The 27,349-nt window shown below is 37.9% G+C and overlaps 1 long non-coding RNA gene and 1 pseudogene across 1 annotated transcript in view; both read right to left on the bottom strand.

Moving 5' to 3' along the window:
- Positions 1–27,349, bottom strand: part of CFAP20DC-DT (CFAP20DC divergent transcript) — a 724,471-nt gene that overhangs the window by 251,070 nt on the left and 446,052 nt on the right. The window contains exon 6 of the long non-coding RNA XR_002959675.2: positions 23,244–23,308. This is a non-coding gene — a long non-coding RNA (CFAP20DC divergent transcript). The remainder of the gene's footprint in view (positions 1–23,243; positions 23,309–27,349) is intronic.
- SNRPB2P1 (SNRPB2 pseudogene 1) lies at positions 23,826–24,378 on the bottom strand (annotated as a pseudogene).

Genomic DNA, 27,349 nt, shown 5'->3' with positions numbered 1-27,349 from the left:
TTTTCTGCTGAGACTTTAGTCCTGGCCAACACCTCAATTGCAATGTTCTGAGAAACCTAATAAATGGGTGTTAACAGCAAAGACGGGAATGACACAGTTGAGATGCAGGCTCAGCTGTGGAATGGGGAGCAGGATCACAAACACATGGACCCCTTTCCAGAGTTGATTCCCAGTACTGCAGACTCTAGAGTCAGACAGACCTATGAATCATCTTGCCCCTTGTTTCTCACTCACTGGGAGAACACAAGGTTACTTAGCATCTCTGAGTCATAAATTATTCTACTTCACTGGTAGTGTGATTCAACACATCACAGGGTTGCATCACAGAAGACAGTTGCCTTATAGAACCCAGCACAGTGCCTTGCCGAAGCATATGCATCAATCCATCACCATCTGTTTATTCCTGTGGTTTGAGGTCCTGTCTGAGGAGCCTAGAAATCCCATGCTCATTTGGGACAGGCTCACACAGTTCCTGGCTTCAGCACTCTCCTGAATGGAGAGGGCAAACCAAACCTGATAGGAAATCTGACTTCTCTATCATTCCAACATTCAAATATCCCCATGTTCAGTGTTTGGCCCTTTTATGATGTTAGCAGAGCTGATGTCTCCTTTCTCCTTTTCTCTACGGAGGGAAGACAGGGTATCATTTAGAACACAAGCAAAAAAGTCTGACTCTTATGTTGAAATCCCAGCTCAGTAACCTAACATCTCTTATCTGAGCAAATCTCACTTCTCTGAGCTTCAATTTCCTCTTCTGTAAAATGAGGATAATAGCATTTATTTCATAGGATTGTTTTGGTAATAAAAAAAGGATTATCCATGAAAATGCTTAGTATGAAACCTCAATATCTGGTTCTTAGTAAGAATTCAATAAACAATGGCTGATGCTACTGTTGCTATTATTACTCCTTCTTTACTGCTGCAACTATTGACTAATCTCAGTGCTACTAGTATTGCTAGTGGAGAGGCTATAGAGCATAGTGATGAGAAGTATCAGCTCTGGGGTCAGTTTCTGGTTTTGCCCATTATTGGCTGTGTGCTCTTGGGGCAATTTTACCTGCCTGGTATTAATTCCCTTCCTCCCAACTCTGCTCCTCAAATCTGGCATCTTCTGGACATTGCTTTAGAAGGTACTAAGTAATTGCTTTCACTATCTGTTAAAATGATTAAGCTCTTCTCATCAAGATAATTGTGGGCAAATAATGAAATCCTGGTAAATATTTGGATAGTAATCATAAAAATGTAAAGTGGCTTTGACACACAATGGCACCTAGAATGTGAGGAGACACCTCCTCTGTTTGAAAGTGGATTGGACTTCATAGTGGCCAGGAAACTCATCATACCGAAGCCTTGATTTGTGTCTTTGCCCAGACTCAGGCATGTTGCACAAATCCAAGAATATGCTATGTTTTAATCTGAATTATTTTCTTAGCCATATTCCTTATTTTACTGCTAAAGCAGATTCAAGAGATTCTGGGAAGTAAACACTCATCTTTCTGTGGAAGTAAAAGCATTAACGATTAAGTTTGGGTAGGAATTTCTATTCTTTTGTAACCTCTATTGAAAATTAACATGGTTTTCCACTTGCAACCTATATCCTCTCCCCAGGAGCTGGCTTCCTAGGGAAAAGAGCTAATATTTTGCAGCAGCTATTGAAAGCAAGAACCAGGCTGGTGTAAAATGTGCGTGCTTCTGCATTCCTGTTTCCCTTTGCACAAAAAGCATAGCATCAATTGGATGAAATAATAGCTACTCAGTTGGTCATTCCCTTATGACTGCAAGCCATTTGGAGCTCAGTCACACTTACGAAAGACAGTATCGACTATATGTAGAAATATCTGGAATGAGATGCTTTGCCCCTGACATCTTTCATTCATAATTACTGCAAAGTCTGCCTGCCTAGGCCTAGTCAATGGTCAGTCAATATTCCCATTATAAGCTGGAGCAGGGTGAAAGGCCAAGGCAGAAATACAAAGCAGACATATACTCAATGGGGCCCACACACCCAAGCATCAGAGTTGGCTGGAGAGGGTCCCATGAGCCACTGAGCTCAGAAGGATAGGCAGGTACCATTTGATGTCTTCTGGAATCTGTGTTTTATGGGGTTGGAAATTAAGTCTCTTCACAATGACACAACATAGAAGAACATCCTCCGTAAGGCATCATCTTTTACATAGAAGTGGATCATTCTCTTGTTGAGTTGCTTGTTGCAGTTGCTTTTGCATTGTGATGGTGCTGAAGGTCTTGCCACAGAAGAACACAATTTAAATGGGCATGAGTAACATGGTTACACCCAACTGATAAACAATTTAAATTAGAAAGCATGAACAAGTACTTCTCTTCCCAAAAAAGATACCTCACTCTGTGGCATTGGGGTAAAAACCCTACTCTGTAACAACAAGGAGTTGATGATGAGGGGTTATCATGAACTAGCTTAGGAATGTTAGAAAGTGATTTGGCTTTTTATGGGTTGCTTGCATTGTACTCCAATTTGGTGATTTCTACTTTGCCAGCATGAAGTCATTCTGAATCTTAAATCAGAATTTTCTCATAAACACTGTAAGTCAGCCAGCGTTAAATGTTGTATGTGCTTGGCACCTGCTACCAAGGGGGATTTTCTTTTAAACCGCTATTTTGTAAAGACTCATCCACTGCAAATAACTAAATAAGGACATCAGAGTTTTGAGGTTTATGAATGTCCCTCATACGCAGAGTTTCACAGAAAATCCTTTTAGGTACCATTATTCTTGGCCATGATGGATATCACTACCCACATCTAATTTAGCTAATTTTCCTGTCTTTCTCATGTACTAGCACAGAAATGAGTATTAATTTACCATTAATTTAGTGTGCTAACCCTTAATCAGCAACAAGCCTGTTCTGAAATAGCTGATATTGAAAGCTCAGCAAACTTTTATTCAAAATAAAGTCACCATTGCATGTGTGTGTGTAAATACAGTCACACATACTTTCATCTCTCCATCCAATAAATTTTAGGGATCCACCACATAGATATTTGCTTTGAGTACATTAACAAACTTAAATGTTACCGTAATAGTGTGGCTTATCTAAGAAAAAAACAGACTTGGACATGAATAGCTGCCTGAAGAGGTCCTCAGAAATGGTCCACAGAGCCTCTTAGATTCAGGGAACCTTCGGGAAGCTCCCAGTGAAACTATATGTTTATAACAACGGAGTCAACAGAGTGTCCTATAAAACATATATTCTTTCATTTAATATCTTCATGATTACCTCTAAAGATGGTCTTTATTAATTCCTTTTACTGCTGAGGAATCCAGGATTCTGAGAAGTTCATTTATTCATCCACCCATTTATCCATTCAACTAATACTGAATGCCCACTATAAGGAAAGGTCTCTCCTAGTGGATGGGGCTACAGCAGGGATAAAACTAAGCTCCGCTGTCAGAGGAGTTTACATTTTAGAGACAGTAAATAACCCAAAGTCACACATTCAAATAGGGTCAGGGCCAGAATTCCAAGTCATGACTGTTTGATTTCTGTGCTATGTTCTTAACCAGAACACTACGCTCCCCTCTATGATAGGAGGATGTTAGGAGCAACTAAAAAGTCTTTCCTAGTATTTAATGTTGCTTTCTTCTAAAGAGATACTGGGTGTCGCCATGCCACAATAGCTCCTCTGTTGAACCAGGCCATATGCAATGTCTTCTTTCCCTCTCTCTCTCTCCCCTCCTCCCTCTCCTATTTTTAAGACTTTAGACAGGCAGGCAGCAATTCTTAATGCCAAACTATGGAAGACACTGCTCACTCAATATCTATCCTCCCTTCTTTTCTTACTGCCAGAACCACAACTTTGTTTGGGGGCAGGACTATCTAAAAAATAGTTTCCCAGGCTCCTTTGTACGAGGGATGCTCACGTGACTGAATTCCAGCAAATGAGGTGTTAGAGGAAGCCCACCGGCTGGAGCTTCTAGGAAAGCAGTGTTTGCCTGGTGAAAAAGGACTGACTTTGTCGGCCCAGGTCTTCCAGGGAGCAGGGGTGTGATTCCAGAAGGGGTGGGAGGATCTTGAGACTGTGAGGATAAGGGTCATATGCTAAGGATGGCAGAACAGGAAGCTGGAAGAAGGAGCTTGAGTGGTTGAGGATTTACTCATCAGCCATACAAGCCCGAGGATGTCTCTCCCTGGACATGAGAAAAATACACCAGCATTAAGCCATTGAATTTGGCTTTTTATACATGCAACTGATTTACAATACCATTCTTACACATACACAAAATATACTATTGATAAACTCAATGTTGAATAACCACCACCTCTACACCATTGCCATTTACCGTACTTTGCCCTGCATAAGGCACCACGCTAAGTTTTACTACATTGTATCATTTATTCGTCATAGAAAACTTATGAGGGAGGTATCATTATCTTATTTTAGAGATGAGAAAACTGAAGCTCAGGGTGATTAAGCAACTTGTGCAAGTTAGAATGAGTCAGAATACAGTGGAACTGGCATTGAAATCTAGCTCCAAAGCCTAACCCTTAAGCACCTGAGTTGATCTTTATAAAAAAATCACATAAGTAGCCATTGGTGGTATTTGAAAAATACTATTATCTTGATATTTAGCTAAGATAAATCTGTATCTCTAATTTCTTCAGAATTGTTTCAATAAAATTTTCTTTCCCGACATTATTAAAGCCTAACAATTTCCAATTCCTTTCTCTTTGTAACTTCAAACAATGTAACAAAGTGTGCAAAGTGTACCTTCATGTTCTCTGCATATTCCGATAAAAAATAAAGCCTATGTGCCCACCATCTTTATATGCAAGATTTCCAAGAAATCCAATATTTTGAGTCACTAATATCCCAATCTTCCGTCTCTCTTCCCCCTTTGACTTATTCTGACCATAACACGATAGAGATTAGTGTTGAAAAACATCATTAAAGGAGGAAGTTTAAGAAGGATGAACAAGCTCAGAAATGTCAATGTGGACGTCAGGGGAGAAATGCTGAGAGAGGACACCCTTGGCTTCTGCTTCCAGCCTTTGCTTCTCTCTTCCCTCTGCCTAGGTGCCTCCTTCACAGCCTCAAACTTGTCCCTCCAGATCTCAAATGCCCCGGGTGTAGTTTTTGTTGTTGTTGTTGTTGTTCTCCTTTGCAGGCTAATCTTCCATCTATTACCCATTTGGGATATTTCATCAGAGAGGGTCTGACTTTTTTTTTTTTTAGTTTGTTCAGGATTAAATACATATTTCATACGCACACACACACACACACACACACACACACGCACACACACACACACCTCCTGAGCTATGCTTCACCCAGTCTTTAGTTTATGAACATCATGCCTGGTTGAGTCACCTATATGAAAACACAAAAATTCTATCACAAAGCTCCTGGGAGATGTGTTCACAGGGCCAATTTAAGTGGTTAGCTGCCCAAAATATTAGGACTTTGATGCTCATTCTCCTCATCCACTCACCCTCACCACGTAATTCAAAATTAAATCAATATCAGAGCATAAACATAAGCCCAACTCTGAGTTTTCTGATTATGATTACTTGCATTCTTTCAATTTGAAATCTCTTGTTTAAAACTGTCAATGTATATACACACATATATACATATGTGTGTGTGTGTGTGTGTGTGTGCACGCACATGTGTGTCTGTCCCACTGGCCCCCTAAGCCCAGGCTCACACTGTCAGCCTGTCAGCCAGTTGGACAATCCAGCACTAGGTACTCAAATTTTTATGCTGGGTCATTTTACTCTTACTTCATCCATGAGGTAAAAGCTTGATTGTTGAGTGCCTGGGTCTTAAACAGAGAAAAACATGAAAATTAGAGAGAATGAGACCATCCTAGAGAGAAGTACAGTATATACTGTTTAATTATATAAAACAAATAGGAATTGGTGTCTATATTGCCCGCAAGCAAGAAAAGCCATTGCTATTGGTCCGTATGTGATAGCAATATTTCACTTTCGATTCACATGTTGGCTTAAATGCTTCGTTGAAAAGGCTGTCTATATTTTCCATCCATACTATTAGATAATGGGTCTATGTAATTATCTCGCCCAACCATACTCAATAAGGTACTTAAAATACATGAGTCTTAGTTGATTGATGATGAATATAAAGAAACAAAGTTCACACTTTCAACTTTTTCACTCTACATTTGAAATTTTGAACCTAATTTAAACCATATGTCACTAATAAGGTGAATAATACTTTCTAACTGGCTTTTTGGTTGTTTTTGGAAAATAGTTATAGAAAAGTACAAAGAAAAGAGTGGCACTCATCCATATTTCTGTAACTAAAAATTTATCATCATTAATTTGATACACTTGTTTTTTCTATATATACATTGTTAAAACAACGATGAAAGTTGAATGTAAACACCGCTCCCCTTTTAAAAAAGTATTAGAACATTACAGAGGAAGCCAAGTGCTCTTTTTCTACGATCATCACTCCTATCCCCATCCACCTCCTTTCCATTTCTCTCCCCCTCTCCAAAAGTGCCACCTATAATCAGTTTTGTACGTTGTCTCACAGTCCTTTAAAAAATGCTTTTACATCTGTCTATGTCCAAAGGAAATATGCAGTATTGATTTTTATGTTTTTCAAGTTCAGATTTTACTCAGGCAGAGCATTAGTCTTCAAAGTACTGTTTGAGAAAAGCCATGTGATCATATCAGTAGATGCAGGAAAAGAATCTAATTCAATTAAAACCGATTATTTAATTCAATTTTTACCACTTTTAGCAAACAAACAAGACAAGTGACCTTCCTTCACCTGGATAAAGAAATTAACAAAAGCCCTAGAGCCAAAAGCATCTTTAATGGCGGAATATTAGAATACCTTTTAAAGCTAAGGACAAACAGCTTTCACAACATCTGTTCCATAGATTCAGGCCAGTGTGGTAAAGACATAAAAAATAAGTGAAAGGGTTGGGAAGGAAGAAATAAATCTACCCTAAGTCACATGTGGTATGATTTCGTTTTCATCACCATCCAAGGGAATCTACAAAGTTAGAACTAATAAAACATTTTGGCGAGTTTTCTAGATAGAAGTTGAATACATAAGAATTCTCTGTGTTCTTCTGCACTAGCAGCAACTCAGTAAAAATGCCACTTATAATGATAAGCCAAACTATAACTTGCTGAGAAAAAAATCAACCAAATGTATGTAATAATGTTATGGAGGAAATTATAAAACATATATAAAATGTTTCCTGTAAAAACGAATTACACACACACACACATACCATGTTAATGGTAAGATCCAACTATAAAAATGACAGCTTTGTTCATATTCATCTCTATGTTCAGCAAAACATAAATTAAAACCTTAACAGTTTTATTATGGAACTTCATAAAATTATTCTAAAATGTATACAAAGCATTGAAAAATCTGGAATAGCCTGCTCAAGTTTGGAATAAGACAATGTTGGGGGACTAGTCTTGCTGGGAATCAGATTTTAATGATATATTAATTAAGACAGCATGTTGCTCATGGGTGTAAACTAGACCAATGACACATAGTACAGATTCTAGAAATAGATTCACATGAGAAGGAGCCAACACACCTGGACACTGAATATATGACAAGGGTAGCAATTTAAAAAATAGAGTATTAAAAATGGTCTGGAATAAGAGGTTACCTTTTGGGATGAAATTTTTTAAAGATATCTATATCACATTATACGCAAAATAAACCCCAGTGCATTAAAGACATAAATATCAAGAGTTAAACTAGAATTTTTACAAGGCAATATAAAGGAATATGATTTAGAATATGGAAGGATTTTCTTGACTAAAACACAAGCATTAAGCTTAAAAGACCAAATCTGTATATTAGATTTCAAACTTCTATATCACAAAAGAGGCTAAACAAAAGGGGAAATTAGCCAGATTACGAGTAATGTTAACACTACATATAACTGACAAAGATTAATATCTAGATTATATAATGAGTCTCTAAAACAAATTAAAAACAGACAACCAATAGGAAAAATATGGATAAAAACAAATAGATAACAATTCATAGGCAAGGAAACAAAACGACAAACAGATGGAAAAATGTTCACTCTAAATCAGAGACATGCAACTGAAAACTACAATGCAGTGCCATTTGTTCCAATCAACTTTCATACTGATTTTCCTCTCTTCCCCTGCTCTTGTTCATATCACATGTAACTATTTCAGGCTTCCAGGTTAAGTTTGGCCAGTGGAAGGCACTGGGGGAGGAATGAACGACAGACAGAGGGAGAACACAGGCATTCTTCCCCTTTCCACTTTGTTTCCTGCAGGACCTCTGGCAGCCTCCATGAGCCCCCGGAGGCCTTGTTGTGTCCAGCTCCCACCTCGCCTCCTGCATCCCCCTTTGGTGTCAATTTCAGACAGGTGACCCTAGTTTCTGATTTCTGTTAACCATGGCCTTCTACTATTGTGAATGTTGCTTCACTATCTAGTTTGGTTTCTCAGCTAGTCTATCATCTGTCTAATCAATTGTCTGTGTTAAATTTCCTCTGTTGAAAGACTGAGAGTGTTCCAGCTGGACTCTGATGCACCATTTCATACTCATTAGATTGACACAAATTTAAATGTCTGTCAATACTACGTGCTGAAAAAGATATGGAGTAATATGAGCCCTGTATGCAGCTGGTGGGAGTGTAAACTGATAAGACCACTTTGGAAAGCAGTAAAGTTTTAGTAAAATTGTACATGGGTGATTCCTGTGACCTAGCAATTCCAATTTCATGTCTACTTACCGATACCCAACCCATACCCAACCTATACTCTCTCATTTTCACAAGATGAGAAATTCATTCAAGCATTATTTGTAAAGGCAAAAATTTATAAAACAATGTAAATATCCAGCAACATACATGTCTTTAAAATATGATATACTAAAGATATAATATACTATTAATCAGTTCAAAAATATCAACTAGAGCTTCCTGTGTCAATATGGATAACTCTCAAAAACATAATGCTGAGTAGATGCAGAATGATACATATATAGTACAGTGTCATTTATACACATTTATTTTAAAATGCCAATTCTTTATATTCTTTCCGGATATATAAGTAGTAAAAATATATATACACAGAAATGATAAACCCCAAATTCAGGATAACTTTCCTCTCTGGAAGGCAAGAGGGAAATGGAATCGGAGAGTGGTATACATGGAAATTTAACATATCTGTAATGTTTTATTTCTTAGAAATACCTCATGCACATTTGGTAGAAATCAAATTTAATAAAGCTGGGTAAAAGGCACATGGGTGTTTGCTATGTTATTCACCATTCTGTTAGTATTGTTGAAATGTTTTATTTAATTTTTTTAAAACAACTTATCTTTCTAAAAATAAGTAGCCTTTATTAATGTAGAAGGGACAATAATGGGTATCTAATCATGACCCCTAAATTTATGTGGAGTAGAAACTTTTGGAGAACTGACAAAAGGCTGTCTATAAAACCTACCTAATTTCCTCCTAAAGGAAAGTCATATTTTACCCACACTCAACCCCATTCACCTTCAAAATAATAATACTTTTTCCATGTTCATCATCATCGACCATGTCAGTCTGCTGAGACCTACTTCTGAATGGATGCTACTTCAAAACAGTCTTCACTATTTTCTAAAACATTGTCTATCACTGCTGGCCTTCCCCTGTCCACTACAGTATATCCATCTCTTTGATGTGTAGTTTGTCTGCCTTAAAGCTTCTAGCCATTAACATGTATGCTGTTTCTCCTTTGGTCTTGGGCTGTAGCCTAGCTTCTTGGCCTCTTTTCGCTTGTTTTTGCCCTCCGTCATTGGTTATGGAAGCCCTCTGTTTTTGGGCAAAGGCTAGGCTCAGTATGTTTTCACAGTTCTCATTACTTCACCCTAAACAGTGTCTAGTGTATTAATCCTGAACCAGGTGCAGTTGTATGGAACTTCTTTGCATCTTTGGTTGTCCTAGGGTCTCTCTTATCTCCGAGCTCTTGCACATGATCCCTCTTGGTATAGAATGAACACTTGTAGCCACACCCCTTACTTTTCCTGCTGATTTCTTATTCCCTTAAACCCCAGCTTAATTCCATCCTCCTGGAAACTTTCCCAGATCCTTGAGACCAGCACTCTCTACTTACCCTGCTATTACATTCAGCACATAATATCATAATCACTCTCAGCCACCAAATATAAGTTCCATTCAGCCAGGGAAAATGTCTGTATCATTTATCACACACTAACTGTCAAGCACAAAGCCTGGCATGTAGTAGACATTCAATAAATATTTTATGAATAAATGAAGGAAAATCAAGTCAGACTAATGGTCTGCCTGCCCAGTGAATTATTCTTTTTCTGATGAGGAGTGTCGTTTGCATCCACGAAGTCAAGTTACCTAAACAGCTCAAAGTTTCTCAGTATCTCATTGTAGATCCATCTCCCAGGTATTTACCTAACTTTTTTGCAGAACCTTCACTTTTTAACCATATCTGGAATAACAAATTCCACAGAATTATGTCCAATTATGCAAAGGTTTAGTTCTTTTATGAACATCCTTCTTTCAAGCCTGATGTCTTTAAGTCTAAAATGCTTACATTGAAAATTCTTTACTTTTTTTTCCTTTCAGGTAAAAGTAGAAAAGAAAGCTTTCTAATTTCCATGCACAATGAAGGAAGACATAACAGAGACGAGAGCGAAAAATGCAAGACTGAAGTCACAGCACTCACAGAAGGCAAATCAGTCAGCTCTCGTTAACACACACAAAGTCTGGCATTTGTGTATTAGTGATAATCATGGATTACTGCTGTATTCTATTAGCCTTTTAGGGATTTGCCTTTGCTAAATCTAAAACAACAACAAGCAAATGCAAGTGCAGAAAAGGGAATTCTTATTAATGGAGCCTGTTTGATAACTCTTTTCATACCAGTTTAGAAGGCCTCTTTAGTTTGTTTTTTCAGCAGCAGCTGGAAGCAATACTTTTTTCGAATTATCAAAAGATTTAATGGTGTAATGTGATCCAAGAGCAGAACTAGTTATAATGAGAGAAAAGCAACAAACAGTATAAACCAGTTATAATCTACTATAATTTTACCAATTTAATTTTTAACTTGAAGAATATTTTATTAAGTATGTATTTACACATATTAAGTATATGTATAGATATATTTCAGTTTTCTATATTTCATTTTATATATTACATATAAGTTTGTACATTTAACTATATGTGTACCATATGTTTCAGAAATAAGTGTATTTTGCATTTAGTCTTTCTTAGACCAAAAGCTGGTTTTTCCCCAGGGAACTTTTCTTGATATTTCCATAAGAGATTTGTTTCTTAATATTTTTAAGGGCACTTTAAGAAAAAGTTTTTGGTTAGCTTGAGGATGGAAAATCTTCAAGGGTTCTATGTTCTAATTTTACAACATGTTTAACATTTTATAAATAAACTAAATAGCATTTGTCCTAAACAAACATTAGGAAATTCTTTGAAAATGCTCATCAGAGCATGCTAACCAGTATGTTTTAATAGACTTATTCTCCACGTAAGCATTGTTAATCCTTTGCATCTTTTTTTCTGAAGAGCTTTAAATCGTACTCTTAAGCAGGGTTTATTACTATGAATTTCAAGTAGAAAAATTATTGTTTATGTATTAAAAATATCTTCTGAAATGCAGCTGCTCATGCATGTGGCTAACAGTAGATTTGGGACACTGAGTTTTGCAAGTTGGAGGGAAGCACAGTGTACTAACAAATAGCTCCAGTGTCTGTTTTTTTTTGAAACCAATGCACTTATCTCAGAAAAACTAATATTCAGAGTATGGCTCTAGGTGGCTGCAGAGATAACTTTAGGTGGCAACAGCTAATATAATTTGTAGACCTAAGTGTTTAAAAACTGTAAATCATACCCTGTTTACCTGATCCTGTCCTCCCACACCTCCAAAGATCATTGTCTTCCTTTTTATCATAAAAAGAATTAAAATGATAAGCCAATATGCCTCCTTTCAAACTCATACTTAAACCTATGAAGTTATGGCCTGTTCCTGGAGTTGTCTTATGCATGATTCAGTAAAAATAACTTGCAGGTTTATTTTCTCTTAAGGTTTTGTTAGGACTATTTTGAAATCGTATGGCTTTTAAAAAATCAGAAGTAGAACAATTAAGCATATGCAAGGTTAGGATCACAAGTTCTGAGTCAGACAGCTCTTTTATTCAAACCTGAATCACGAATTCCAAGCTATATCCCACTTAGCAAATTACATAACCTCTCTGTGCCTCAGTTTCTGCATAAATGGTATGATAGTAACAACAGTATTTTTGGCTTAGAATTGTTGGGGTGATTAAATTTAAAAATTGATGTACGCTTGTAGCACAGTGCCTGGTACAGCTAAGACTTCAAATGTTGGCCCTATCTGCTGCTGTTATTACTAGGAATTTTGTATTATAGTGAACAAACTTCTTTCATTTTTCTCCAGTGTTGACTGAGTGCATTGGGGTGACAGAACTCAATACAGAGGAAAACAACCAAGTGCCACCCTATATTAATATGGTAGGTTCTAGTTAACAGCTTGGCTCTAACCTGAGCATATTGTGAGTCCTCTGAGGTTTTGCAAGCAAAATGAAGTCATATTTCATTAGTCAGGTTTCTTAGTTGCAAGAAAAAAAAAATAAGATAAAACAAAAACTAGACTCTGGCTGATAGAAGCAGAATAGGAATTTTTGGAGAGAATTCTGGGGAACTCTTCAAGAATTACAGGGAAGGCCTGTAAAGCTAGGCTTTGAACAAATGGAAGCCAGGTGGGTGGGATGTGGACTTGTATCACACTGCCCTTAACCTTCAGCCTGCACACCTGTGTCATGTCACTACTCCCAGATTCTGGGCCATACCCCTGTTGCCCCTGAAAGTGGGGTACTACTGCTACTGGCAAGAGTTTCTCTGTGTTAATCATTCTTTATGGCTTCCATAAACCTCTTTTGGATTCTGTTCCTCTTGGGATACCAGATGACCAACGAATTTATGATCACATTATAAGCAAGTTACTCAATTGTTCTCATACAACCCAAACCTTTAATGACTCCTGTGACCAAAGTGACCAGCAACTGCACTTACAGGAGGCCATGGCAGTCACTGATTATATGAAAACTCTAAGGTACCCAAGTATGTCTTACCTAACCAAGAAGTAGGAAAGGGCTTAAAATTGCTTTTTAAATTTATTTTTGTTTTATTTTATCTTGAGAGGGGGACATAAAATAAGCAGTTTCATGGAAAACTCCAATGAGCTTAGGAAAAGGGACTTGGGGTATAATAAAGATTTCATTTTTCTGTCTTTTATTTTTACCCTTTATGAAGCCATATTTAAATATGCTTCCAAAAATATGCTTCTGATGCAGTGAGTAAATTTCTTCTTGTCTATTTAGAGGAGAGTGACAGGCATCACCTAGTTCGTTTGCTGAATTCTACAATTCCAGCAACTGTCACTGGTTTTCTTTATTGAAAATAATCAATGGCTTTGACAGATAGAAAGGGGAGAATATAGTGGCATATTTTGATGTATCTTGATAGCATGTCTCAGAGTGGTGTCACTGTCAGTTTCTGCTCTTTGATTATTTTTTTCTAACCAGGACCCAAGGGAAAGTTCTTAGGGTCTTTAACACTGAAACTCCCCAAACATAAAGGACAATGGATACCTAGTACTTGCCTGTTTTTCATCCACTGATGAGTTTTATATTTTAATTCTTCATTTTAACCCAGTATGTTTTTAGCAGAGTTATATAATTTGGAAAGACTCATTTGGACTTAGGTGCATGTTTCCTTGGCAATTAAAAGAGGTTTAGATTGACAACTATGTACCAGCCACACTTTATTTTTGGTTCTTTTATGTGATTCCAAGTAATTTTAAAAGTTTATTATTATAAAAAATTAAAATCCTCTGGCCATAATAGAGAATCAAGGAGCATTTTCATTATAATTCATTACCTATACCTAGAATTCCCATCATTACGGATGCCTGAGTCAGTGCAAACATTTTTTATTAGAACCCACTATTGTATAAAATACTTTTCTTTTTATACAGAAAAAACGAGTCACATTGGCAACCGGTCTACACTTAAATTGCCCTTTCTCCTCACAGCATAAAATAATCTGTTGTGCTAAATAATTTGAAATATCATTTTGTTAATAGGTAATGAAAATGTGTAGCTAATGAGCCTCATGAGACTTGATGCTCAAGCTACATGCTGTCATTTCAATGACACCCTCAGCGGAGGCAGTTGCCAATGCAGAAGAATGATTCGGAATCTCAATCCATGAGTAGGTAGGACTTCAATGACTATGAGTCTACTCTAAATGGTATTACCTTGGATTCTATGTGAGACAAGGACACCCTCAAACCACAGTCAGAACTCCTGCTTCTCTGAATTGTGACCATGGGTGCGAATCCATATAAGATACAAAAAAGAAAAGAAAATTGAATGGCTTCCCAAGACCACTGTTGCTGCTTCCAGCCTTTGCATGGGGTTTATTGTCCAGCTGGGTCGATGTAGCACCTCAGCTTCCTTGCTTAACACCTCCTGATGACTTGTCTGACATCTCAGAGTTTCTTAAAATATTCTTAAGCCTTTGGCATCCCTTCCTGTCCTGGGCCTCATGAATAAAACATTTATCCAGTCAGCAGCTATGGCAGAGAGGAAAAGCCAAGTTCCATCCATCAATGTCAAGAGCTGAATTACCCAGTGATTGCAGATCCTTTAATAACTCTGCCTTTCTATGGTGACATTGGTAAATAGTCAAATACTGCCAGCACCTGGTTAGTTGGTAAGTATTCATTTTCTACCCTGGTAACACACCACCACCAAGTGAAAATGGTGAAAAGCAGTGGTGATTTAATTGTTTTGTGTTTTTCCATTTGCAGTCTGTATTAGTTTACTAGGGCTGCGGTAACAAAGTGCCACAAACTGGGTGCTTAAGCAGAAATTTGTTGTCCCACAGTTCTGGAGGCTACAAGTCTGAGATCAAGATGTTGGCAGGGTTGGTTTCCTCTGAGGACTGTGAAGAGAAGCTGGTGGCTTGTAGAAGCTTTACCCTCATCTCTGCCTTCATCTTCACATAGCATTCTCTGTGTGTGTTTATGTGTGTGTGTGTCTAAATTTTCTCTTCTCATAAGAACCCAGTCATATTGAATTTGGGCACACCCTACTAAAGCATGGCCTCAATTTAATCAATTACATCTACAATGGCTTGTCCCAATTTCCACATAAGGACATATTTAGAGGAAGATACAACTTCTTCTCAAATTTCTATAGGACAATTACTAAAAACTAAAAAGTTGCCAGGGTTGGGGATTGGAGTGGTGAAAGAGGAAGCATTCATGTTTTTATGAAAAGTCATAGGACCTATAAAATTATTAATAATCCCGGATGGTTTTACTAACTACTGAACAAAGGTAATATTATGTTTTCATATTTCCTTATGGGCCAAGTCTCCTCTAAATACTCAAGTATACACAAAAGGAAAACATGTCCTCAAGAAACACAGAGAAGCCATCTTCATCCCAATAAATAAGTTGACTCATGGTGAAGACGATTCCACTCAATACATTTTAATTTTACATTACCTTTAAATAAAATTTCCTGCTCTATTCAAAATAAAAACATACTCCTGCTAGACTCTTCTGTGTCATTAATCTCATAACTGTAGATTTTTTTCACATATTTACAAAGTAAATATAGGTGGTGAGTATATCACTACAGATTTTAAATGCATTGTTATGAGCTCCTGTTTATTAAGGCAAATATGATACAATCCAGTCCAATAAAAAAATCAATCAAATTGAAGGGAAAAATAATTGGTTTCACATAGACGAACCAACTGGCTGCAGAGTTCACTTCCCTTGGGGACATGTTGCCTCTGTTTATAGGTAGCTGAACCCTTTGGTTCTCAAGTAATGAACACCTTTGTTACACACGCATGCCTGTGTGTGCATGCACACACACACACACACACACACACACACAGTCTTCCCTTATAAAGAATGCCAAATCCAAACAAATTGTCTTGACTAGCTTTCCCATCTATCATCTTCTCCACATTTCAACAAAGCTACTAGAAAAATAAAACCCATCCATGACATAGTTCCTTTCTATACCTGTCTTCCCTGTATTCTACTAATGAAGCACCTTAAATATTTGTAGAATTGTAAATTCTGGCCTGAAGACCTGTCAGCCAACATCAGCTTGTGAAATGACTGGAGTTTCATCAGATTGACCACCCCCAGCCCCCAGCAATGTCACCCACAGTGCTGTCAGTGTAATCACAGAGAGAATTATTTTGTGGTTATGTGATATCCTTTTAAGAAGAAAAGAATCATCTCCTTAAATAACATTTGTTTTCCATATCACAAAACACCATTTCAGAAGGTTATTTGATTAACTCTCTCCCATTGAAAATTATATTTGATATAAACAAGAGAGTAAACCTAAATACAAATGATACATTTGTCTGTTAGAGACATATAACATAGAAGGCAATACAATCCATCAATCACTTGCAAAAACACTCTTTGCTTTTGCATGCTTTTTAGTTAGATTTACATTATGCACGTGGGATGCAGAAAAGAACAGTGAGAAAGACTCATCTTCACGGGATGCTCAGGGAGTATTTTCTTGCTTGGTTAGTGTTTCATTTTCAGATAACTTTTCTGATAACTGGGGACCTTTTTCTGAAGTACCTTCCTGTTTGCTCTGTCTTCAACACTGTGACATTTTTATGTACCTGTTTTAATACATCATTAATTTCATCACTGCACGGTTTCCTCAGGAAACAACAGTCAAAGCCCCAGTTATTAGACCGCTCTCATTGAAAAAGAGAAAAGGATTTCATTGCTTAAGCCTCATTTTCCAAGGATTGCTGTTATTAATTATCTGTATGAGATGGATGCAGCAGGGATTTTGCTAAGTCTTGTTGCTTCCCCTTCCCTAAGAGCTGGATCAGGGTTTCTGGAGATCACAGGGAGATCTACACAAAGGCCATTGTTCAGTGCCAATGTGAGCTATGGCCTGCTGCACCTGCCAGAGGGGAAGGAGCTCTCCAGAGCAGGCTTCTGAGAATTCTGGGAGGACAGCCTGTAGGAGGTGTGAACACTTTCCAGAGTCAAAGGCCTCAGTGCCTTGAATCTGGGAGATGAATTCAGCCAAGCAGAGCTCTTAAAGCTCTGCTGAGAGACCAGGAAATGGCTCTGGAATGGACACCCAGCTTCCTAGAGAGGCTTCAGTGAGGCCTGGAATGGGAAGAAGTGTTGCAAAGAAAGACAATCACAATTATGAGCACGAGAAGCCTCCACAGCCCACTGTTAACCACAATCAGATACAGTGTACCAGGTCCCTGAAACATAAGTACCCTTCATAGACGCTAAATGTATTCTTTTCAGCTTCTCTTAGCTTCATTCTGAGGCCAGGGGACAGGCCTAGTGTCACAGCTGAGAAAATGTTATAACACGAGTTGGAAGAGAGTCTAATTGCAAAGAAAGCAGAGCATCCTGGGCAGGGTGGTGTGGCAGTGACTGGGGTGAAGGAATGCCAGTCTCTCAGTTGCCACCACTCCTCCACAGTCCTCAGAGTTCTGTGCCTGAGGAGGGGCTATGAAAAAGCTCAGCTCTTTCCCACTTCAATGGCTTTGCCTCTGCTGTTCCCTGTGCCCCAAACGATATTTTTGTGGCTTTCACAGGCCTGGCTCCTCCTCATGCCTCAGAGTTTAGCTCAAAGTCAGCTCCTCAGAAGAGCCCTTCCTCCCCACCCAATCTAAGCAGCTTATCTGTCCTACAGCATATCTCAGCAACCCGCTGTTGTCCTGCATGGATGATACCACATCCTCTGCTTGTCTTATCTATAAATATCTGCTTCTACACCGGGCCAAATACCCACAGAGGCAGGGACTATGTCTTAGTTTCACCAGGACAATACCTAGCACATAGCAGAGGCCCAGGAAAGGTTGGCTGAAAAAATGAAGGTATCCTAGAACAGCACTGTCTGATAGAACTTTCTGGAATGATGGAAATGTCCCATATTATATGCTGCTCAATATGGTAGTCACTATCCATAGGTGGCTCCTGAACACTTGAAATCTGGCTAGTACAAATGAAGAACTACATTTTAAATTCAATTACATTTTCATTCATTTAAATTAAAATTTAAACAACCACATGTAGCCATTAGCTGCTATATTGGAGAATGCGGATTTAGGACAATCCTCTTAACCCTGAGAAAGATACACAATGATTCCCAAAATGCTAATCTAACTCAAAGAGGAGGAGCTACCCTGAGCCCGAGTTTGGTAATTTTGTGAGCTACCTGACCACTTGACCATGCCCATACAACCTAGAAATTACTATTCTTAACCTTAATAATACTTCTCCTGGGTAGTATATGTAACATATTGGATATGTTATAAAACCAGATAATTTAGGCCATATTTCCAATGCAATAAGTTAACATTTTTCTACATGATTGTTGCATACACACAACACTCAAACATCTTAAAAAAGAATAAAATAAGCAATAACTTAAGCTACATCCCATAAAATAAGCAATAACTTAAGGTACATCCCAAGTGTACATTTAAGCAAAATATCAAAATGCCAGGATCAGTGTCTTCTCAAGGATTCAACGGCTATGACCTTTGAGGGTACAGGCTGTGCCTGCCAGCTCGATATGTTCATCTCCAGGGGCCTGGCACAGCCGTGGAGAAGGCACTCGGCAAATATTTCCTGAACACGAGTAAATACCAAGAGCCATTCTATTCAGTAACTCAGGTTTATTTATTTTTCTTATTTTTTCCCCATCTATTGTGCCGATGTTCTCCACTGAAAAGGTAAAAGTGAACATGTGGGGAAAGGCAGGTTGTAGAAAAAAAGGACTTCACCCCCACCACCCTCCCCCAATATACTCAAGTTACCCAGATAGAGGAGCCCAAGCGATGAGTCAGTATCAATAGACTGGGAGAGCCACAGGCCCAGGGAAGGCTCAGATCCTAACCTGTCCAAGCACCAAAGGGGGCTAGAATGAGAGTACAGGAGAAAAAAAAAAAAAGGAAGAAAGAAAGAAAAGAAAGAAAGAAAGAAAGAAAGAAAGAAAGAAAGAAAGAAAGAAAGAAAGAAAGAAAGAAAGAAAGAAAGAAAGAAAGAAACAACAACAACAAAAAACCAACGCTGGCCAGGATTACTTTTACCCAGATACCAACAGGAACAGCCAACTAGTTGACCCCAAAGTCTTGTTCTCAAAACAATACCATCATGAAAATACCAAGGGAGGAAAAAACAGAACACGACGTAATCAGCAAATAAGAAACCAAGCACGCCTTGTAAGCCTGATTTGAATTCAGTCACACTTGAGGTTTGCAGTTCTCTCTCTCAAAAAACCCAGATCCCACCACCTCCTCTCACTTCTACAGCAGAGACTCATTGCACTATTTTCGCATTCCTTTAGGCTCCTATCTTGCAAACAGACCCAGATAGAGTTTATTCTAATTTGAAAGTGGCAACCCTGCAAGTAATTTTCAGAAGAATTAACAATCATGCTTTTCCTTTCTTCGTCCCTCCTTCCTCTCTCTCCCTTCCTTCCTCCCTTTACCCTCTCCCTCCTCCTCCATTCTGATATAATGAATCGCAGGCAGAATTTTCTGTTTTGATCTAGTTAGAAAAATAGTCTGATTGCCTCAATATTGACAGCAGCTGCAGCTGGACCGCCCCAGGCCAGGAATCCTTTGTCTGAAACAAACAAACAAAAACTGCCTCTCCCCATTCCCCCACTGAAGCCTGTCGCCTACCTCTCAACTGGAAATCTAACCCACAGGCATTTACATCATGAGGTTTGTTTTTATAAGTTATAGCAAAAGGCAAAAATAAGCATGGTTCTCTGGTTATAGGGCAGATTTCCCAATGCCTCATTTGTTAGGAATGACATTTCTGTTAATGCCCTTGTGTTAAAATTGCATGCCCATATTTTAATTTCAATATATCATATCATGGCACTTAGTAAGAGAGGACCATCAAGAACCATTACCAAAAAAGCTATTATGGAACTTTATTCAACTAAGTTGTATATTGACTTTTAGTCAGTGTTTCAAAACAGTTTCATTAAGTTTATGTTGGAAGAAAGAAAGACGGAAAGAAATAAAAGGAAGGAAAGAAAAGAAAGGAGAGGGAGGGAGAGAGACAGAGAGAGGAAGGAAGAGCAAAAGAAAGGAAAAGAGAGAGAAGGAAGAAGGGAGAAAGGGACATATGGACTCTCAGAGTAAGGAGTCCTGATAGAGAATAACAATATTTTTATTCTTTATTTTGAAATTTATCATCCATTCTTTTATGCACTGCAGAAAGCATCATTTTTCTTTAAATGAGTTTGATATTAAATCTCTTGTTCTGCTGAATCAGGTATTATTATATATCCACCGGCTCTGGAATATGCTGTGCCTGAGAAGCATGTTTGGAAAAACAGATGCTAACATCGAGGTTTCCTTTCTGCTAAACGACAAACTTCCACAAAGCACAAAGCAAGGTTTAACCCAATCTCTCTGGTAGCCATGACTGCATGTTCAAAGTATATGTGACCACCACATCCAGGATGATACTAATTTCCTATGTGACAAGACAGTCCTGAAGATCATACACAGAAATTCTTACGGTTAATCATAAACAGGAGAAAAAGATCAAATGAGCCAGCTTTCAGTCATACATTAGGCACTCATTTTACAACATAAGAAACACATGTCTTTACCCCTGATTTTAAAAAAGGTAGTGAATGCATCACAGAAAATACAGACTCAATTGCTTCCCTTTTACATGGTGAGGGCCTTCTCCAGGACCGTGAGTATCAGCTTCTACTAGACTTGGTCAGAATTTGATCACAAAATCCTTCAGAAGCTTTTTGCTTATAAAGGAGATAGCAATTATTTGCATAGCAGAAGGAGGTTTTCACTCTCCCCAATTCTCTGACCCAGCAAAAATTACTGTCAACTATCTGCCCAGTTGAGGGATATTGATTCTCCTGTTGCCGTGGTAACACATTAGTTGTCAGGTCTGTGTGACTCTCATACTCAGTGCCTCATCTGTTCCTCCCGGCTTTTGGAGTTTGACACTTTCTAAGCCTTAATTAGTTTATTTGATGGGACCCTCACATTTTATTTTTATACTAAATAGTTATTGAAAATATCGTCATCCAAAGAACAGATCACAGAGGTAGAAATCGGTGTGCTGTCAGGCCGACTGGAGATGACAAAGACAGAGAGCAAAGTGGGAGGCACAGGCTCTGCTTGCTGCTCCTTGGATATTGGGGAAAATCAAAATGGTTTTTGCCATCTGTCACACAGCACAGTGTGAAAATTATGGAGCTGTTCGTTTCGACGTTTGAGGAACATTCTGCCACTGTGATTAGATCACAGTAGTATTACCCAGTCACTAAAGGTTTGGATCAATGCGCTTTAATATTTTTCTCCTCAGAAAATCTCTGTCTTAACTTATTTTTCAGTGTGAATGTCTGCTGAGCAATTCACTTAGAGATAAATATTTCATGCAGATAAAGCACTTAGGATGGGAGTCAAAGGACAGCTGATGACTTAGTTAAGTTTAGAGTTAATAATAAAAGAAAATAAGAAGGTTAAAAAAAAAACTTCATGAAGGATTGCTGTCCAGAACAAAGCATTATTCTAGACCCATTCTCGAATTATGGCCCACAGAACCCTGCCAGAGGTTGGGAAGTAGAGTCCAAGGAGGCCTTTAGGGAAACCAATAAGTCAAAAAACAATTGTCATGATAAACCTAAGAAATTATTGCCTTTTTCACTTTGTTGGCCTTTACATTTTGATGCTAAAGTAATCATGGTAAAACTGCTAAATGGCTTAGCACAGATCAAGGCAATCACACACACACACACACACGTGCACACACACACACACACACACACAGAGGGAGGGAGGGAGGGAGGGAGGGAGGGAGGGGAAGGAGGAGGAGGAGGTTACATTTTAAAAAAATCTTTGGTGAGTGTGTTTTAAAAAATCACTTGATTAAATCTTGGCCCTTAAGTACAAGCCTTCTTAATATCCTGTGTGACAAAATGGGAAAGTTGCATAAAACACTTGTGTTGTATACTGAGGTGGAGTGGCTAACTCAAAGAAAAGCACTTGTGTGATTGTTTGAGGGGAGAGTCAAACTAATTACTTTTTTTAATTTAAAAAAATCTAAAAGAGATAGAGTCTCACTATGTTGCCCAGGCTGGTCTACAACTCCTGGACTCAAGCAATCCACCAGCCTTGGCAACTAACCACTTTTTTAATAGAAAAACTTTTTCTCAAAAGAGCAACAGAAATATCCAAGGCACTGAGACCACAAATAAAGGACCTAGAGCTCACAGAGAAATAAGTTTTTGAACGTCCATTGCAGTCCCTTGAAGAAAACTAAACAATCGCTTTATACCCAGGCCCTAACCTCTTATGCCAAAGTAATGGTAACAAAAACCCAGAGCAGGAAAAGACAGCCCAGGTTTAGCCCTAGGACATAGTTCTGCTTTCTTGGATAAGACATATCCCTCTCTTCTTTTTCATCTTACAAGATTTTTGCCTAATAGGTCTCTCCATCCTACCTTAATAAGAAACCTTTTATTCCATATTAACACTGACAAAATGCTTTGGGATCAGGAGAGAATCTTTAAAAACCAAATATCCTTTACCAAGACAGAAGGCAGGACTAAAGATGTGACATATTTTACCTTTAATGAACACCATTCCCAATATCTATGATAAAAGATGCAGTAAAATTCTGCTGCCTATGTATCTTACACTATTTGAATAGAAATCACAAGTCCTAATATCATCAAGGCATGACTAATGACAGACTAGGGCTTATGGTACCATGTTTCCAGCAGAGATTGGCATCTTCGACCAATGTAACCATTCCAGACTGTCAGATTAAGATCCAAATCACACTAATATCAGGGAAATTTTGAGAGGCAATGCATCTTGCAACACTTAGGAGTCAATGATTCAAACCTCCAAAAGCATAAAATCTTATTCCATAAACAGAACATTTATCATCTTGGGAATGAATGAAACCAAGTAAGTAAAAATAATAACTCAGCTTCTCATGTATGTTTTTCACAATAAATAAAATAGTAACCACTCTTCAGCTGGACTGTTTTACAGCCTACATCCTCCAGTCTTGGGAGGACTGGATTCTCAGTTTCCCCATCAGTAAATGTAAAGAAAGGTCATTTGGCATTTACCTGACTCCAAGGCCATCCAAGCAGCTTGACAGCTAGACCTGCCATCATGTCTTCCTCTCACAAAACTAGAAAATATAATAAAACAATTATTAAAATCTGGCCTGTAACCTTTCCATACTTCCCTATGTACTTCACTTCTTCACTTATGAAATTAATGGCAGCTTCAGGAAAAGGAGACATGAGGGAGGAAGCCACATGATATTCTCAAGAAATTGTCCTCTGGAGCTCACCTTTGCACAAGCTCATTTTCTCTTTCACAAGCTATAAAAACTATGATGCTTAATTTATGAAGGCAGTGCCAGGGTACTTCTTTTTTTAGGATACAAATCAACTTTATTATACAAAATTAAGGTTTTCATGTTTCTAAGTCTACTAAGCTAAATATAACAAAAGCAACAACAAAAGTCTCTAAAGAACCTTATTTCAAATCCTTCACTGAAAAAAAGTTAAATGCTTAGCTTCACTATTCCCCATTTCTAAAATTAGCAAATTGACCTAATCAAATGTTATAAGAAGAAATGCTATAAATAACACCAAGTCTTTAAAATGAGAACATCTATATATTCTTGGCTTGATCTTTATAGGGTAGGATGGTATGACCTGAAATCCTTGGGACCTGACATCTCCAGCCAACCCACCATTTTAAAATTCAACAAAAGCAGTATCATGTCTCCCAGGTACCAAACAGTTCCTTGAAACCAGAGAATGGAGTAGCTGATAACATCATCCCATTAGTTTCCTCTGTTAAGTTATTAAGGAATAAAATACAGTTTGGAGGGTGAGAGTGAGGATCTGGTATCCACTTTCCTGGAGGGTTAGCTGAAGCCTGAGGCTCCATGACCAGGCATGTGTAGCAACAAGAGTCTGTTTCATTGTTTTGACCTTTTCTTTTGTCAGTAAAAGTACCACACACTTTAGATAATATATCCAAATCTATTTTTAAACATTCCATTTGCATTAGTTTATCATGAAATGGAATTTCTTTTAACTATCTCAAGGTATTTGTGAATAACACCAGTTCTTTAAATAAAACAGATACCTTCACCCTCATCTTCATGGCCAAAATAAAGAAACAGGGCACACATCTCTCTCTTAAAATGTTGTGATTCATATTGTAGATGTAAATTCCATGATTCCATGATTCAGCCTGTTATCCAAGTTTTTGGGTTAAACATTTTCAAACAAAACAAAACAAACGAGCTTTTAAAGACTCAATCCCCAGCCAAGACTGCCCTTAATATCTCTTTGTTACTATTAATCATTAAGTAATCAACAATTTTGTTCTGTTTGATAATTAAATCAACATGACCACAGCATACTGTCGATTGTTAGCCCCTTTTCACTAAAGGATTAAATTTTTCTAAAGCTTCAGTGCTAAGCAACTACGAATAATTCCAAAAACAAAATTTGTTAATCCAGCAACTAGTCAATGCGCTCTTCAAAGACTTCAATAAACACCAAAATTAAAGACAAATTATGCTTAGTTTATATTTCTTAGTATTTCTCCTTAATTTCATTTCACTTCACATTGCCTTAATCTTGTAAAATTATTACTCACTAAAAACAAAATCCCTCCTGGACTCTCTGCTTTTCTGCTCCTCACTTTAGCATTTAAAATATGCAAGGAAGTTTATCATCCGGGAAGAAAATACAATTACACCTCTCAACTTATAGGAGGGACAGTTGCTCTGTGTTTGCCACAGGGAGATTTAATCACACCCAGGATCTGCATTGGATACTTTAAAAAATAAATCTAGGAGAATACCTGTTTCAGAAAGAGAGGCCAACGTCAAGAAGAAAATGGGCTGTTATCTTGGTGCACCCTGGTTGCAGCAGTTGGCTACAAAGATTAACAGTCAACATATAATTCTTTGGGAAGGGACTACTTGTCCTTGTACTTACAATTATTTCTTATTACTGTGGTAAAATACACATAACATAACATTTACCATTTTAAGCATTTTCAAATGTGCCATTCAGTGGCATGAAGTACATTCACATTTTTGTGCAACCATCACCACTACCTAGTTACAGAACTTTTTCATCACCCCCAAAAGGAAACCCCACACCCATAAAACCTACAATAATTTAAACCATGGACTAGATGCTTGGCTTGGGTGAAATTTCCTCAACTCCTTCCTTCCTGTCTCGGTAGATGATAATAGTTGGAAGCAGGGGCTCTGGGACCTGATTGCTCATATTTAAATCCTGCTTCTACAGCCATCCTGGGCACACTGCTCCATCTCTCTGAGTTTTATTGTCCTCATCTATGAAACGGGAACAATCATAAGACTTCTTACAGGGCTCCAGAGAATAAACTAGAACCCTGTAACCCACTCAGGTCAGTGTCTGGCAAGCAGGAAGAACTCAATATATGCTACCTATATTTACTAACTTTTATTTCTTATTATACCCTCTATATATCAGGCACCACTCTAAATGCTGTGTATACATGACCTCTTTTAAACCTCTTAGTTCCATAATATAGTTACTGCTACTAACTTCATTTTATCTACATGGAAACTCAAGCACAGAGAGGTTAAGTAACTTGACCAAGGTCACAAAGCTCATAAGGGAAGGAGTCAGAATTTGAAACTCCAGAGGCCATGCTCTTGACTACTCTGCATGCTGCCACTACATTATTATCAGTTATCACACTCACCCTGAAACGCATATGGTTAGTCTCTTCTCACCATATTTTTCTTTACTTCATGAAGCAATTTAATATTGATAAAATAAAAACCATCTCTATCCCTGCCTTCTTCATGCAGCATCTTGAAGTGTTTGTGTGTACTCTCACCATTTTTGTTTCTCATTAAATGTGTGATTTTACACCGTCATCAAAAGACTGGACTTGCAATTTACTTGCTGTTTTGCACCATGATGTTAATAACATAAAATATTTTATTCCCATGAATGTCTGTGATCATAATACTTGAATTAGCCTTTTGTACTTCCCGTCTATGTGTGTAGGTACGCTACACCCCCTACACACCAAGTGGCAGTTTCTGTGCAGCTAGTTAGCTCATATCAAATCAAGAACTTGCATCAAATTCTGGGGTACGACGTTAGAATAATTAGAACCCCAAGGAAGGTTGGAGCTCAGCCGGGTACAAAAAAGTCATGGTTTCTTAGCTCATCCTGTGGCCCTAGGGCACTGTATGGGAAACACAATCCTGGTCACAGGATGGAGGAGAAGGGAGATTACGGAAAAACCAGCACATCAGCTACAGAAGTCCTAGTTGTACAGAAAGTGAGGGAAACTAATGTCAACCAGCACATGTGCATGCCAGTGTGGGGATGAGATGCCAGTCTAAGAAACAGCACTTCCAGTTACCGTCAATTATTAGCAGAGATCTGCATATGTAAACAAAGCAAGCCTACTGGAAATCCAAGGCAAGCTGCTTCATTACATGATTAAAAAATCATACAAGTTCTGATAAAATAAATTTCCCTGGAGGCACAATTGTTGTTCTTCATACCTTCAAAAGGATGAAAGGGCTTCATATTACTTGTAGGGATGTCAAATTTAATTTCTTCCCTTTTTTCTCTTTTCCTTTAATTACAAAAGCAATATCTGCTTATTATACAGAGTTCAAACCATACAGAAGTATGTTGACTAAAAATAATGTTCCCTTCTTGCCATTAGCATCTTCCAATCCTAGTCCTCAGAAGCAACTGCTGCCAACACTTTAGAATAAGACCTTCAGACTCCTGTCCTATTTATCAACAAATATTTTTGCACATACATGCATGTATATGGATATGCAAATGCACTGGTGTATACATACGAATACACAGAAGTCTAACTTTTGTTATTAATCACGGGGAAAAAAGTATAAAAAAGAGAAAAGATAGATTGAAGCAGAAGTTAAAGACATATTGGGTCTCCTGATACCCAGAAAATAACATTGAATTGAAAAGAATTGAAGAAAAAATGTTCAAATGAACATATCTTTTAGCTAAGAATACATAACATCATTCGATAAATGACGTACATATTTGTAATTCCAAACTGGGGCCAGTTTAGGGTGATCGGTTATATAACCATGCCTCCTCAGCAGAAGCAGACCTATAGAACCACCATCTTTGAACATCTGTCAGGT

This window comes from Homo sapiens, chromosome 3 (genome assembly GCF_000001405.40).
Source record: "Homo sapiens chromosome 3, GRCh38.p14 Primary Assembly".
NCBI classification, from domain to species: domain Eukaryota; kingdom Metazoa; phylum Chordata; class Mammalia; order Primates; family Hominidae; genus Homo; species Homo sapiens.
Note: the sequence above shows the minus strand (reverse complement) of the source record. Positions and strands in the feature narration are given on the sequence as shown.